Here is a 14,847-nt window from a genome sequence, read left to right on the forward strand (position 1 = left end):
GCTACTCGGGAGGCTAAGGCAGGAGAATCGCTTGAACCCAGGAGGCGGAGGTTGCAGTGAGCCGAGATTGCACCACTGCACTCCAGCCTGGGTGACAGAGCGAGACCCATCTCGAATAAATAAATAGCCATTAGAAAAAAAAGAGAGAGAGTAGACTATTAATGTGTTCTTAGGTAAGACAAATACGAAATTAAGAAGTGAGTCACTTTTCGCGTATGTCTAATAAAATCTAATTTTCTTCCTTTCCAACTCTGTTGATTAATTTAATTGCTGAGTGTACAGGGTTGTTCTTTTTCAGGTTCACTTCTCTATCTTTTTGGCTAGTTGCTATTGCTGCATGGTGGCTGTGCTGGGTTGAATAGTGCCCACCAAAAATTTATGTCCATTTGGAATCTGTGAATATGATCTTATTTGGGAATAGGGTGTTTGCAGACATGATGGAGTTAAGATAAGGTCTTTCTTGATTAGGATGGACCCTAATCCAATGGCTGGTGCCCTTATCAGGAGAGGGAAATTTGACACACACGCAAGGGAAAATTCCATGTGAAGACAGAGGCAGGGATTAGAGTGATATGTCTATAAGCCAAGGAATGTCAAGGATTCCAGCAACTTTAAGAAACTGACAGAGAGGCATTGAACAGATTTTCCCTGAGACCCTCCAGGAGAAACTAACTTTGGTGACATCTTGAGGCACTTCTTGCCTCCATCACTGTGAGAGAACACATTTCTGTTGCTTTAAGCCACCTAGTCTGTGTAATGCACGATGGCACCCTGAATAAAATAATAGTGACTTCATGGGTATACATGATCCCTATAGCATCTAGGTATCACGTTCATTAAGAAGACTAAAGTCGTATTTCTGAAATCATTCTTTTATTTTGCACACACATAGCTGCTATTTACTGAACACTGGAAATTCATGAATGCGTTACATATTTAAACTTTCATAGAAGGCTCAGATCAACAAAGCAAAACTTCTACAGATAATAAGTAGTTGTGTATGCTTGTCACTCTTGGGCCCATCAGCACCTGTTCCCTATCATATTGCTGAACTCTGCAAACTCCAGAAAGGAAGGTTTCTTTTCCAAACTTCAGAGAAGCTGCAGATCAAGAATTTGGGCCGTTGCATCTGATTAGAAACTCTCTTCTTCCAGTGTGAGAACGTTGGATTGAAAGCGGCATAATATAAAAAGAGATGGTTGTCTGTCAGGGAGAGGTCAGATCTAAAAAAAAAAAAAAAGAAAAAAAAAGGAAGGGATGAAAAATTCTTTCTTTGTTGTTATGGGTTGAATTGTGTGAATTGTGTCCCTCCCAAAACCTAAAAACCGTAGACTTAAGTCCTAACCTCCAGTACCTCAGGGAGCGTTTGTATTTAAAGATAGGGGCCATTAAAGAGGTGGTTAAGGTAAAATGGGGCTGTTTGGGTGGGACTTCATCCAGTGTGAATGGTATCCTAACAAAAAGAGATGAGGACACAGACCCACGCAGAGGAATGACAGAGAGAAGGCTGCCATCTATGAGTCAAGGAGAGAGTCCTCAGAAGACACCAATCCTGCTGACACCTTGATCTTGGAATTTCAGTCTCCAGAATTGTGAGAAAATATATTTCTGCTGTTTAAGCCACCCATTCTGTGGTATTTTGCTATGGCAGCCCCAGCAAGCTAATACAGTAGTCCTATGCAGCTTATCTGCAGGATCAAGATATTGTTTTGAGCTTTAGCGCCTGTATGCATCTGTATATACGCTGTACATCTGTCTGTGTAAATACGCATGGATGGATGTCTAAATGGGTACTCTTCTGTTAACATTGTTTATCTCTGTGTGGTGGGATTATGGATGAAGTTTTAAAATTCTTTGTATTTTTCTGTTGTGTTTGAATTTTTCAAATGATTTGTATGTCTTATTTGTAGAAAGACCAAAAAAATCACTTTAAAAAGAAAAAAAAAAGGACCTCCTCTCAATAGTAACTTTTTTTGGCTTAAGTGTCCCCTTTTCTCCTCTGGGACAGATCTGAAATCTTAAACAAGCAGAAAACCTCCAGCCCAGAACAGCAGACACCAAAACAACTTTGTTGTGAACCAACATTTCTTGCTGCCTGGGCGCTTGTAGAAAAAGCCTTATTTGTTTGGTGGTATTCGTTATCAAAGTGCTGTTTATCAGGAAATCTGCTTTGTTCCTATTTTTCTTACATAGATAATATGAAAAAAACTCAGAAACTCTCCTTTTAAACTCAAAGTGCACAAGTAAGACTAGAATCCCATGTAAATGAACTCCTTACTGGTGTGCAAAATTAATGAAAGCTGCTACATTTAAGGATAGAGATCAGTAATAAGCCTTATTTCCACAAGAAAAAGTTTGGTCTTTTAAAAGCAATACTTGGAGTTGATTAAATCTGTTATTATTAATTAGATTTTCTCCTCTGTGATGAACAAAAAACAATTAAAGGCTTTGAGAGCTGTGAGAAAGACTTTAAAGACTATTTGACTCAAACTTTCCTCAGTGCACAACACTCCCCACCCTAACTTGACTGTAGGAGAAAAAACTGAGAACAAGACGGGGTGTGGCGACACCTCCACCATGACATAGCACCTCGGCCACTAACAGCTGCAGCAAATGCTTGGTTCATTAGGAAACGTTACCCGGCAGAATTCCAAAGGCCTCGGTCTAACAGTGAGGTGGTTCCATCACAAGGAGATTCTCAACCTTGGCTGCACATTCAAATCACTTGGGGGAGAGTTTTAAAAGTCCACATTCCTGCGCTACTATGTTGGAGACATAGATGGAACGGTCTGGCGAGGGGCCTGGGCATCAGCATTTTTAGAGCTCCTTGTAGGTGATTCCTATGCAACTCCAGGGTCAAGTGCCACTCCGGATGAACTACCTCATCTACACTGCTCTGCAACAGACAGCCTCAAACCCACCCCCAAACACACGCTGAGACTCTGATGTGGTCGCAGCAGCTGTGAAAGTGCTAAGTGCCTCTCACGTAGTCTCTGTATATAAGTATATACACGTAGTCTCTGTATATGAGTAAAGGAAAGGGTATTACCTGTAGGGGTCTTTCACCTGTCACCCTCGGAAGAAGCTGATGAGAAAGGCGCACAGGGCCTGGAAGGGTTTCCAACAATGTTCCCAGGCCTTCTTCTTTGCTTCCTCATTCCCTCCGGGCCTGGGTCCAGGCTGGGTAGGTTTGGCTGTGGGTCGGGTGGTGGGTTTGGCTTTTCCCAGCTCTTCCATCGAGTCCTTTCCCAGCTGTGTTGCTTCTGTGAGTTTCACTGTGGCCTTGGGCCTCAGAGATGGCGTCCCAGCCTCAGGCTGCTGGTTGGGCTCTGGGCTGCCCTTGAGGCTGGAAGTCACCTGCTGCATATGGGCCTGGGGTCCAGCCTCCCTGCACACGGATGGCCTAAGCACCGGGGCCCCCTGGCACGCATGGTGAAGGCGCCTCAGCTCCTGCAGGGCTTGATTCCAGTAAGGTTTGGGGTCAGCAGCGAAAGCCTGGCACATGCTGGGCTGCCCCCTGTACTCACACCAGTAGGTCTGGTCTGTGTTGCGGCAGTCGACACGAAGCCAGACTTCTCCAGCACCTTGCCCCAAGCTGCTGGGACGCATAGTGCAGGAATCTCTCCCTCCAGTCTGGAAATGGAATTCCTCCCCAGTGCTTCCTTGCTTTTGCCTCGGGGCCTGACCCAAAGTCCCCAGGCAGGACAAGGTCACCAGCAGGAGGCAGGGGACGAACTTCATGGCGATACTCCGATAAACTTGCTTGCAACTCTGCACCAGGAGAGAGAACACAAGTGGGACGAGTCACCCTTTAAAGGGTGCTGCACAAAAGACTCTTTCTCTGCAAGGGTGGGGAGGATGTTTTGCAGCAAATGAGAAACATGCCCACAGACCTTAGACACGTAACACTTGGCAAGGGCAGAGCAGCCACCAGGGGCCGCCCACCACAAGCAAAGGGAATGGTTTTCCTGAGTGCCTCAGAGAGATCTGCCCCAGCCCTGTCACGCACAAAGCGCCACACACAGCTTTGGGGCTGAGGGTTTTACAGTTTTCCAACCACAGGGTGCTTGCTCTAAAATTGGCCCTTGTACGGGAACAGCCTTCTTTGTCAACATTTGGTATATGCCAAGGTGTGGCAGTGGTATTCTGGAAAGTGAGGTTTGCAGCTGGGAGTCTGGGCTGCCTCGAGGCTCCCTCCTGCTCCCTGGAATCCCCATCTTGGGGGACCATGGGTTTAGTTAATCCAAAGGAAGCCAGAATTTTATGAGCCTAAGTGTTATGAGATGGCCTAGCAAATGCAAAAAAGACTATGTGAGGTTGTGTGAGGATGTGTGTGCCAGAGGGACACAGAGACACTCCCCCTCCCACCCACCGAGCTGAGAGTCACCTGGTGTGGCCTCTGTGGGGCTGTCCCGCCATCACCGTGGCCACAGGCCACAGTGCTGCAATGTTCACTTCCCTTGTTATTGCATGCCTTACAATTGCACCAACTGAATGATGACGAGGAAGGCATGCAAATATATGTTCACAGTGGGATTCAGTCTATTTTAGACCATGAATTCTATTTCAAATTCAATTGAAATAACACAGTTTTAATTATATCACAGGAAAATATGATTTTAAATATTATTATTATTGTTCTACAATAGAAAAAAAATAAATTGAAAATAACTTTTGATTCTGTGTCAAGAATCATAGTTTGGTATGGTCATAACTGTCTTTTGATGACCCTTCCAGAGGGCACTGTGGAGTGGACTAAAGGTGGCAATTTGCTGTTAGGAATAGGGTTGACGGATGTTGGGGGACTAGTTTGAATGTGAGGGATTTATCTTGGCGATCCCACGTAGGGTAGTTGGTACCTGGCACAGCCTTCCTTCCACCTGGATATCCTGAGTCCTGAGAAGACCTAGTAGGGCTGGAACTAAAGCCAGGCTGAGCTTCGGCAGCCACTGTGTGTGTAGCAGTGAGAGCCTTCCAGAAGAGGGCATCACCCCAGGTGGGGAGCAGAGGAAGCTTCCAAGAAGTGGTGCCAAACCTTCAAGACAAGTCAGTCAATTTGTCAGGTTGAGAAAGGGTAAAGGGCAGGTGTTTTTTTTGTTTGTTTGTTTGTTTGTTTGTTTTGGCCTCATTCTGTCACCTAGACCGGATTGCACTGGTGTAATTATAGCTCACTGTAGCCTCCAACTCCTGGGCTCAATTACTTCTCCTGCCTCAGCCTCTCAAGTAACTGGGACTACAGGCATGGGCTGCCACACCCAGCTAAATTTTAAATTTAAAATTTTTAGGGACAGGGTCTCACTCTGTTGTCCAGGCCGATCTCACACTCCAGGCCTCAAGCAATCCTCCTGCTTCCTTGTCCTCTGGAGTCACTGGAATTACAGATGTGAACCACCACAACCAGCTAAAGGTAGGTTTTTTTTTTTTTTCACACAGTCTTACTTTGCCACCCAGGCTGGAGTGCAGTGGCACAATCTTGGCTCACTGCAACCTCCACCTCCCAGGTTCAAGCAATTGTCCTGCCTCAGCCACCTGAGTAGTTGGGATTACAGGCGCCTACCACCATGCCAGGCTAATTTTTGTGTTTTTAGTAGAGATGGGGTTTCACGACGTTGGCCAGGCTGGCCTCAAACTCCTAACAAGTGATCCGCCCACTTCAGCCTCCCTAAGTGCTGAGATTACAGGCACGAGCCACTGCGCCTGGCCAAGGGCAGATTCTTAAGGCAGGATAATGCTTCCTGTAAAGGAGTGATCCTGGAGTGCAGGTTTATGGACTGCTGAAATGTCAAGGGCAAGGAGGCAGTGGTGAGAATCAGGCTGGAGAGGTGACTTAGGGTGGGGTCCGCAGCCCCCGTACCAATCCACAGGGCCAGTTCTAAGACAGAGGCTTGCCCTTTGTGTGCTTCCAACTCAGGAGCCCCTGGAGTAAACAGCACTCCAACCCAGGCTCCATGTCGTGGCCACAGGAAGGCAGGTGTTCAGCTCCAACCTCCTTTCCCCCACCCACCACAGTGTTGCAGGGAACAGCTTGCTAGACCCATCTAGACACCCTGAGGTTATGGCCAGCCCTTTTCAATGCCCTAGTGAGGCTGAGTTTACCCTGCAATGGGAACTTATCATAAGAGCTCTAATCACGCTCTTCCTCTTTTCGCTTTTGGGACAAGCCAAACCTCAAGACCTTTGCACTAGTGCCCACTGCCTGAAAATCTTTTCCTTGAACATCGCATGGCTGCCTTCTCCCTGCCACCTTCACAGAGGCCTTCCCTCGCTATACAATGTAAAAGAGCTCTTCTGTTCCTCTATCACTTCATCCTGCTTTAATCCTCTTGAAGGCAGTGATTTCTCTCTTTTTTTTTGAGACGGAGTTTTGCTCTGTCACCCAGGCTGGAGTGCAATGGCGTGAACTTGGCTCACTGCAACCTCCGCCTCCTGGGTTCAAGCAATTCTCCTGTCTCAGCCTCCCGAGTAGCTGGGACTATAGGCACATGCCACCACATCTGGCTAATTTTTGTATTTTTAGTAGAGACAAGGTTTCACCATATTGGTCAGGCTGGTCTTGAACTCCTGACCTCGGATTATCCACCTGCCTTGGCCTCCCAAAGTGCTGGGATTACAGGTGTGAGCCACCATGCTCAGCCCAATTTCTCTTCTTTCTTATTTGCTTGTTCATCTTTTAAGTGTGGAGTGTCATGATCAGATTTGCACTGTAAGAGACTGCTGTGTTGAGAAAGGATTGGTGGACAGGGGGACTTTGTACAGGGAGGGTAGTGGGCAAGCTGGCTCTGTATGGGCTGAGTTGCTGTAACAAAAAGACCTTCTCTATTATGAACCAGTCTTCCAGGTTCATGCCTGGAAGTTCTTCAAATTTAACACATGCCTTCCAAGGTTTGTTTGATTGCTGCCATTTCCAGTGGAACAAGTCCAGGATCTGCAGTTTTGTCTTAGTAGACACTTCACTTACTTACTGCTGGCCTAAGCCTAGTCACTCAGCCACATCTAGCTGCAAGGGAGGCTGGGAAATATAGTCCCCACCAGGTAGCCTATGTCTAGCCAAAACTCAGGGGGCTGGAAGCCTAAAAGAAAGAGGGGAATGCCTCGCTAGCCAAGAGACATTATGAAAACTGTAAGAGGATCTCATCAGTGGGGATGGAGAGGAAGGCTTTGTGACCAAAGGTAGATGGAAGGGAGGGGGAAAGCAGACTTAAGAGTTCCTCCAGCTCCAGTGATAGGGTGAAGGTGGAGAAATTCAAGAAAGGGAACATGGTGGGGAGAACCTGTGGCGATGTGCAGGTCAGGACAGTGGTTTAAGGCAGGGGCCACAAACTGTGGCCCATGTGGCCTGCTTTTGTAATTTTTGAAGAACACGGCAATATCTATTCACTTACGTATTGCCTATGGCTACTTTTGTGCTGCAACAGAGTTGAGGAGACATAGGCCACATGGCCCAGAAAGCAAAATATATTCACTGTCTGACCCTTTTCAGAGAAAGGTTGCCAACCTCTGGTTTAAGGTGCATCTGGGTGGAGACATGTCATGAACACAGGGTTGGCTGGAGCTCTATGTGATGAGAGAACCAAAGGGAGCAGGTGAGGTGATGAGTGAATGAAATTACCCAAGGAGAGAGTGAGGGGCACACCAGGAGAGAACCTGCGAATGCCACCTAAATTTAAGAACTGGAGAGATGAGTGTTGGAAGGAGACTGAGGAATAGACAGCCATGCCCCAAGAGGACACTGGAGAGGGCTCTTTTGGGAGCCTGAAGGGAGATCTTTGTAAAGGGGATGTGTTCACAAAAGTCAAGTCCTCGGTGACCCCGACAATAGCCCTTCAGGAGTGGTGGGGACAGAAGGCAGGTCACAGGAGTTGAAGAACCAATGGAAATGAGAAAGTGGACAGAGATGTGTCGAGAGTTCTTTCAAGGAAATTATTTCCAAAGAGAGAGGGAAAAAAGAAAACATCTTGTACTACCAGGCTGAGTGTGCAATGGGGTTGAGGAAAGGCTGATTTTTTTTTCTTTTTTGAGACAGAGTCTCGCTCTCTCAGCAGGCTGGAGTGCAGTGGTGCGATCTCAGCCCACTGCAACCTCTGCCTTCCAGGTTCAAGCGATTCTCCTGCCTCAGCTTCCCGAGTAGCTGGGACTACAGGTGCCCACCACCACACCCAGCTAATTTTTGTATTTTTAGTAGAGATGGGGTTTCACCATGTTGGCCAGGATGGTCCCGATCTCCTGACCTCATGATCCACCCACCTCGGCCTCCCAAAGTGTTGGGATTACAGGCGTGAGCCACTGCGCCCGGCCAGGCTGATTTTTTTTTTTTTTTTTTTAGCAAAGATAAGAACTTTAGGCTTGAGATACTGAAAAATAAATAAATAAAAGTTGCAAGAGTGACACTAGGAGTATTAAGTTGGCTTGAATAACTTGAATTAATATTTAAATGGGTGATACAAAAATCAGGTTTTCAAAAAATGGGAAGTTAAGAGATAATTTCCTCCAGAAGAATTATACACTATATAGTCTTGTTTAAATTGCAAGCCTCTTGTGTGTTGTTTTAAAAAAATTCATTTTTACTGGTGTATGTTTAGGATTACATCAGGCAAAGTAGAGTTTGCCTATAGTTGGTATCCAATTGTATATATTGTGACCTGGACAGTTCCCTAAGAAATGATGACTTCAGATCTGAAGAAGATCTAAAATATAGCCCACTTTGACCTTGACCTTGAATTACTTCTGTATAATGGGCCCTTTAATAATAATTAATGGAATTCACAAATAACACATGCTCAAATTTCATCATCTAAGTTGTGAGTCGCTGGATCTACTCAAGGAAGTAACATACAGACCATGTTTTCCAAGTTCCTTTTTATTCAAATGAATCAGAACTGCAATCTGCACATGAAAAGACCTGGGGGGAATGCCTACATCTGGAATTTCATTACATCAACGTTAAATTTTGTCCGACCAGTTCTTCATTGCTGATCACTTTTGATAATGACAGATCCAACATGAAACTCCTGAAGCAAATGAATATTTACCTTGTGCTTTCATGCAAATTTAGGGACCAAACTCAAAGGTTTCATCCATGCTGGACACCAGATCTAAGAATTGTGACAGGATCTTCTCATATTTCATTTTAGAACACTTGATACTAGTCTGATGATACTCATGTTAGCTGCACTCCAATTAATGTTTATCGTAATGCAACAGAAAACTCTGTTAAACTGTACACCGTAATTGGCATCTGTTAAAACAACTCCACTTTTGAACGAACAGCATTTCTCTCTCAAGATCTCTCTCTCTCTTTTGAATTTGTCAGATGGAGTTACGCAGGTTTCTCTATGATTGCTTTTGCATGCCATTTCCAAGTGGAACATGGCCAATCTTTGATAAAGTATAATAGATGAAAATCTCTGCGTGAAGAATATGCTGTAGGTTTCACACACTTTTAGTGAAAATGGATTATTTTCAACAGCACCAAGAAGTCAATGGTGACTTATTTAGCTCATTTAGAAGAAAGTCCTATAATACTCATTTGTTTAAAAAACTCTGTGGTAACAAAAGGTATATACACCGTTTACTGTACACAAAATGCATCTTTCCTGTAAACTGGTGTGTGTTCAGCACACTCCACACATGGCAATATGTTAGAATCTAGCCATCACATTTGATAGAGTTTTGATAGAAATGCATCCAATGGGAACAAACACCCCATATGTTGTAGTGTCTAAATAGAAACTCAGTGTAAAAAAGTAAAAAACAAAAATAGACAGGAAGGGAGGGAGTCATCCTTGAATAGTGATGGACCATGGACTATAACGTGATTGTGTTCATTCTTAAAGCACTACCCAGAGACCAATGGTGCCGTTGCCTTGGTGCCCGCCTGAGTCACTACGTTGCCACTGGCGTTGCTCCTGGATTTGGAAAGTCCTTGTAGACCCAGAAACTACCAAAAATCTGTGATCCTTTCCACTTTGAGTATCCTGATGCTGAAATGAAAGTTAAACACAATTTTAGAAATTGCTTTTGAATTAATAAAGAGAAAACCAGGAATGCATAATCCTAAAATGGTCCCCACCAGGAGCCTAAGAACTAAGGAAAATATAAACTCGTTCAAGAGGCACAGCAATATGTTTGTTGCAAAGCAATCTGTTAAAATATAGCAATATAGAAAAAAACTTTGTGGTTTTTGTTTATTTATCTTATTTTATTTATTTATTTTTTTGAGAGGGAGTCTCACTCTGTCGCCCAGGCTGGAGTGCAATGGCGCGATCTCAGCTCACTGCAACCTCCGTCTCCCGGGTTTAAGCCTCAGCCTCCCAAGTAGCTGGGACTACAGGCACCTGCCACCATGCCTGGCTAATTTTTATATTTTTTAGTAGAGATGGGGTTTCTCCATGTTGGCCAGGCTGGTCTCGAACTCCTAACCCCAAGTGATCTGCCCACCTCAGCTTCCCAAAGTGCTGGGATTACAGGCATGAGCTACCATGCCCAGCCAGAAAAAATTTTAAGTCCATAATACTCAAGGTACGTGGTTGGTACACAGATTTCTATATTTTTGTTTGTTTGTTTGTTTGTTTAGAGATAGGGTTTCACTACATTTTCCAAGTTGGAGTGCATGAGTGTGTTGGCTATTCACAGGTATAATCATGGTTCACTGCATCTTTGAACTCCTGGGCTCAAGCAATCCTTCTACCACAGCCTCCCACCCCAGTAGCTGGGACTACAGGCAGGTACCACCATGCCTGGCTTATTGTTTTACTCTAAAAAAACACTTTCTTTTCTTTTCTTTTTTTTTTTTTTTGTGATGGAGTCTCACTCTGTTGCCCACGCTGGAGTGCAGTGGTGTGATCTCGGCTCACTGCAACCTCTGCCTCCCAGGTTGAAGCGATTCTCCTGCCTTGGCCTCCTGAGTAGCTGAGATTACAGGCAGGATTACAGGGGCCCCCCACCACACCCGGCTAACTTTTTTTAGTAGAGACAGGGTTTCACCATGTTGGCCAGGCTGGTTTTGAGCTCCTGACCTCAAGTGATCTGCCCGCCTCGGCCTCCCATAGTGCTGGGATTACAGGCGTGAGCCACCGCACCAGCCCTTATTTTTTTACTTAAAAAATCTTATCTTTTTAAGTAAAAAAATTTTATTTTTTTAATATACACCCACATACTCACTGTGTGTGTGTATATATATATATAAATACACACACATTTATATAGCAATGCATATATATACAGAGAGGGTCACTGTATCGTATGTATACATGCAGTCGTCCCTCTGGATCCATGTGGGATTGGTTCCAGGACCGCTACACACATCCTCCTACATACTGTATATCATCTCTAGATCACTCAAAATACCTAATACAATGTAAGTGTTATGTAAGTAGCTGTTATACTGTATTGTTTTTATTATTTTTATTTTTGTACTGTTATTTAAAAAAAAATTTTTTTAGAGTATTTTTGATCCACAGTTGGTTGAATCAATCGGTGGATGTGGAACCTGCAGGTACAGAGGGTGGACTGGACATATAAAATATCTTGTCTAATATGCTGATCTAGATTTCCCACTTAATGTGGCAATGTATTAGGAATAGCTATGTTTTGATGTTCTAAAAACTAAAAACTATAGTCCTGTAGATTCTCTTCAATGAAAGCATCAAACTTACCTCAAGCAGTTTCAACATCAGCTATCAATGTTGTGATGGGCTAAAAAACAAAAAAATAAAGAAATATAATACCCCCAACAAAGCTGTGGGTGGTTTCATCACCTCTGTGCTAAGAAGCAGGCATGTGACTAAAGGTACAGACGAATATAAACCACACCTCATAAAGTTTATCAAGAAGAATGTGTCAGACAAAACACTGGTTACTCTAGCTTCTGTTTGTATTGCTTTTAAAAACAGCATAGAAGATAAAGAGGATAAACAGACTATGACAAGTAAGAATTGTGAATATTCACAATCTAAGGTTAAAAGTGTTAAGAGTCACTAAGAATACGTGTTGAAGACATTAGACCAGCAGCAACACAGCAGTACACATGTCTACCACAAGAGTCTTTCTAAAGTCCACTTCTAGGACAGAAGACAGAAGCAAATGGAAGTTCCGCAGGGACCTTGTTACAACTACAAATTCCTGGGTGTAAGATCAGGCAGTGCACACGGCCTCTAAGTGGCTCTCTGGGTGAACCATCAACAGTAGCCCTAGTGTCCTCTAAAGTGACTCTGTGATAATGGCCTTGACAACCAAAAAGGTATACGCCAGGGGGAGACTAGTGAACTCCATCTGGAAGGTCGGCAGTTTCAACTCTGGCACACCCTGCCCGACTGTGACTTCAGGTGGATCACAACCCCTCTGAACCTGCAGGATCCACCGTGCCTCACTGCAGTGCTGCATCAGACACATGAGGTTGGGGGAGGACATGCACGGAGGACATCAGGGCATCTGCCAGGCAAGACATTCCTTCTAAAGTTTTTCACTTTAGAAAGTGCACATGCTTGGTTCTGTGTGCCTCTTCTTGCACTACCTTTTATGCTTTCGGTAAAGAAACAAACTCTTTATCGAAAGGGCTCAAAGGGCCCCTGGAAAAGGGTGCAAGCAGGGGCTGGCTCAATCTCTTGTTACTGTCCACCTCACCAGGACCTGGAGCTGAACATTATGAAGGACTGTAGGCTCTGGCAATCATTTCCAAAGAACATCTACATTTGCCTTATTGAGCAGAGGGATGCTGGGCACACTAACAGGATCACTGGTTCTTCTCCTCCTGCCTAGCATTGCCTCTCCTCCAGACAGTATATCCATCCTATCCTGGAAGAGAGGGAACTCTGGAGACCTCAGAAGCAGGAAATGAGCAAAACAAGCCAATTTAAGCAGTGTCTTAGTATGTTTTCTGCTGCTATAACAGAATATCAGAGACTGGGTAACTTACAAAGAAAAAAATATGTTTTTCACAGTTCTGAAGGCCACGAAGTCCAAGAACCTGGTGCTGGCATCTGGTGAGGGCTTTCATGACGCATCATCCCATAATGGAAGGGCAAATGAGTGCAAGAGACAGACAGGGAATGGGGTCGAGCTTCCTCCTTTTATCAGGAGCCCACTCCCATGATAATGGCATTAATCCATTTATGAAGGCAGAACTCTCATGACTTAACCACCTGTCCAAGGTCTCGCCTGTTAATATAGTCACAATGGCAATTAAATCTCAACATGAGTTTTGGAGGGGACACTGAAACTATAGCAAGTAACTAAAACTAATCCTGGAAGCTCCTGATGTAAGAGAAACAAAGGGCCTTAGGTGAGACCATAACTGGAGGATACATTTCTTCAGGCCATTAGGATTTGGGCTCTGAATGATAACTTCCTGGGTGCCCAACACAATAAAGCAATAAAATAAAGAAGGCCAATACATGACATCTGAGACTCTCCTGTCTCCAGAGTAGACATCACACACTGATGACAGTACTTTTGAGTCAGTCTGGATTAAACCTCCAGATTTCAATCAACACAACACAACAGGGCTCTGAGCAGCCGGACAACAGAGAGAAGTTGGCCCAGGAGGTGGAATCTGTTTGTCAATGATGCACTATCCCCTTCACAGAAAAAGGAAGGTCCTGGCCCCCGAAGAACCTGAAACATCACACAAGGGAAGGGGCTCCAAGCACCCTCTACAAGACCTATGCAGCCAGAACCTACACAGGTGAGGGTCAGCTGCTGTTTATGTAGCATTCCCCGGGATCCACCTGCTTCCTCCTCTAGGCTGCAGAGGTGCAGCCATGCGGACCCCTCCTACTTCTATCTAAGAATCTGGCCAAGCGCAGTGGCTCATGCCTGTAATCTAGCAATTTGGGTAGATCACTTGACGTCAGGAGTTCAAGACCAGCCTGGCCAATATAGTGAAACTCCATCTCTACTAATAACAGAAAAATTAGCTGAGCACGGTGGTGTGTGCCTGTAATCCCAGCTACTCAGGAGGCTGAAGCACAAGAATCGCTTGAACCCAGGAGGTGGAGGTTGCAGTGAGCTGAGATCACACCACTGCATTCCAGCCTGTGTGACAGAGTGGAATCTGTGTCTCAAACAACAACAACAGCAAAGAATCTACAGAGCATGCACAATGAACACCATCTACAGCCGAACTAGCAAGAAGGTGGTTCACAGACATATTTTGTTGGGCCCCCATGGTGTTTTTTTCTCCACATTGTTTGCTAACATTAAAAAGGGTAATTTCATATGAAAATCAGATTTCTGTCCTTTTCAGATAGAGTTTCTAGCAACACTTGCCTCTTATTTGTTCCCCTTTCTGCCAATTTGATAGTCTTCAGAGTGAAGACTGGGAAAAATAATCAAATTTTTCTGTGGTCTTTCCACCCGTTTTGGGAACTTTTCTTTGCCCACCTGCCTTTGGGAGAATAGGAGAAATAGCTCAAATCATAGCTTGGCCCTGGCTAGCTGTAGAGACCTGGGCATGGCCTACACGTCCCTGAGTCTATCTGCAAAAGACAGACAACAAGGCGGTGACGACAGCCATAGAGGGCCGATGTGGGGACTGCGCAGGATGAGGCAGGGTGGTCATCCTGCCCGGTTCCTGGGGCTGCTGGACCAACACTGGTGTTTGTTTGCTCTCAAGCCTTTGTGGTCTCACAGGAAGCAACTTTCTCTCCTGATCTCTCATCTCAGAGCTAGAAAGAGTAAGTTTACACACACACATACAGACACACACACACAGACACACACACTCTCTCTCTTTCTCTCTCTCTCTCTCTCTCTCTCTAAAGAACTCCCTAGCAGCTGAAAGATCACAATCCGAGTGACCTCTAGTGATCCATGAAAGGCCAGGAAGAAGATTCAGAAACAAGTCACCCA

At 44.8% G+C, this 14,847-nt stretch overlaps 2 protein-coding genes across 39 annotated transcripts in view, besides 1 other annotated feature; both read right to left on the minus strand.

Annotated features, from left to right (window-relative positions):
- Positions 1-856: 856 nt before the first annotated feature.
- On the minus strand, positions 857-3,787 carry FGFBP2 (fibroblast growth factor binding protein 2). The gene is made up of 2 exons (NM_031950.4): positions 3,050-3,787; positions 857-1,223 (listed from the first exon to the last, which is right to left on the minus strand). Exon 1 carries the CDS (start codon positions 3,739-3,741, stop codon positions 3,070-3,072), a length of 672 nt encoding a protein of 223 aa, NP_114156.1. The 5' UTR covers positions 3,742-3,787; the 3' UTR covers positions 857-1,223; positions 3,050-3,069.
- Positions 3,817-4,658: an enhancer, noted in NCBI's record as "H3K4me1 hESC enhancer chr4:15964828-15965669 (GRCh37/hg19 assembly coordinates)". NCBI's record gives its function as "activates a minimal SCP1, AML or CMV promoter by ChIP-STARR-seq in naive H9 embryonic stem cells {active_cell/tissue: H9 hESC(naive)}" and the evidence as "EXISTENCE:reporter gene assay evidence [ECO:0000049][PMID:30033119]".
- Positions 8,840-14,847, minus strand: part of PROM1 (prominin 1) — a 115,796-nt gene continuing 109,788 nt past the window's right edge. For all 38 annotated transcript variants that reach the window (NR_199807.1, NR_199806.1, NM_001441179.1 and 35 more), the window contains 2 exons: positions 11,655-11,694; positions 8,840-9,980 (listed from right to left, as the gene is read on the minus strand). Coding sequence is in view for 36 of the 38 variants with exons in the window: in NM_001441179.1 (NP_001428108.1) it covers positions 11,679-11,694 (16 nt within the window). In the remaining 2 variants the exon portion in view is untranslated. The remainder of the gene's footprint in view (positions 9,981-11,654; positions 11,695-14,847) is intronic.

The sequence above is a fragment of the Homo sapiens genome, chromosome 4, assembly GCF_000001405.40.
Source record: "Homo sapiens chromosome 4, GRCh38.p14 Primary Assembly".
NCBI classification, from domain to species: Eukaryota; Metazoa; Chordata; class Mammalia; order Primates; family Hominidae; genus Homo; species Homo sapiens.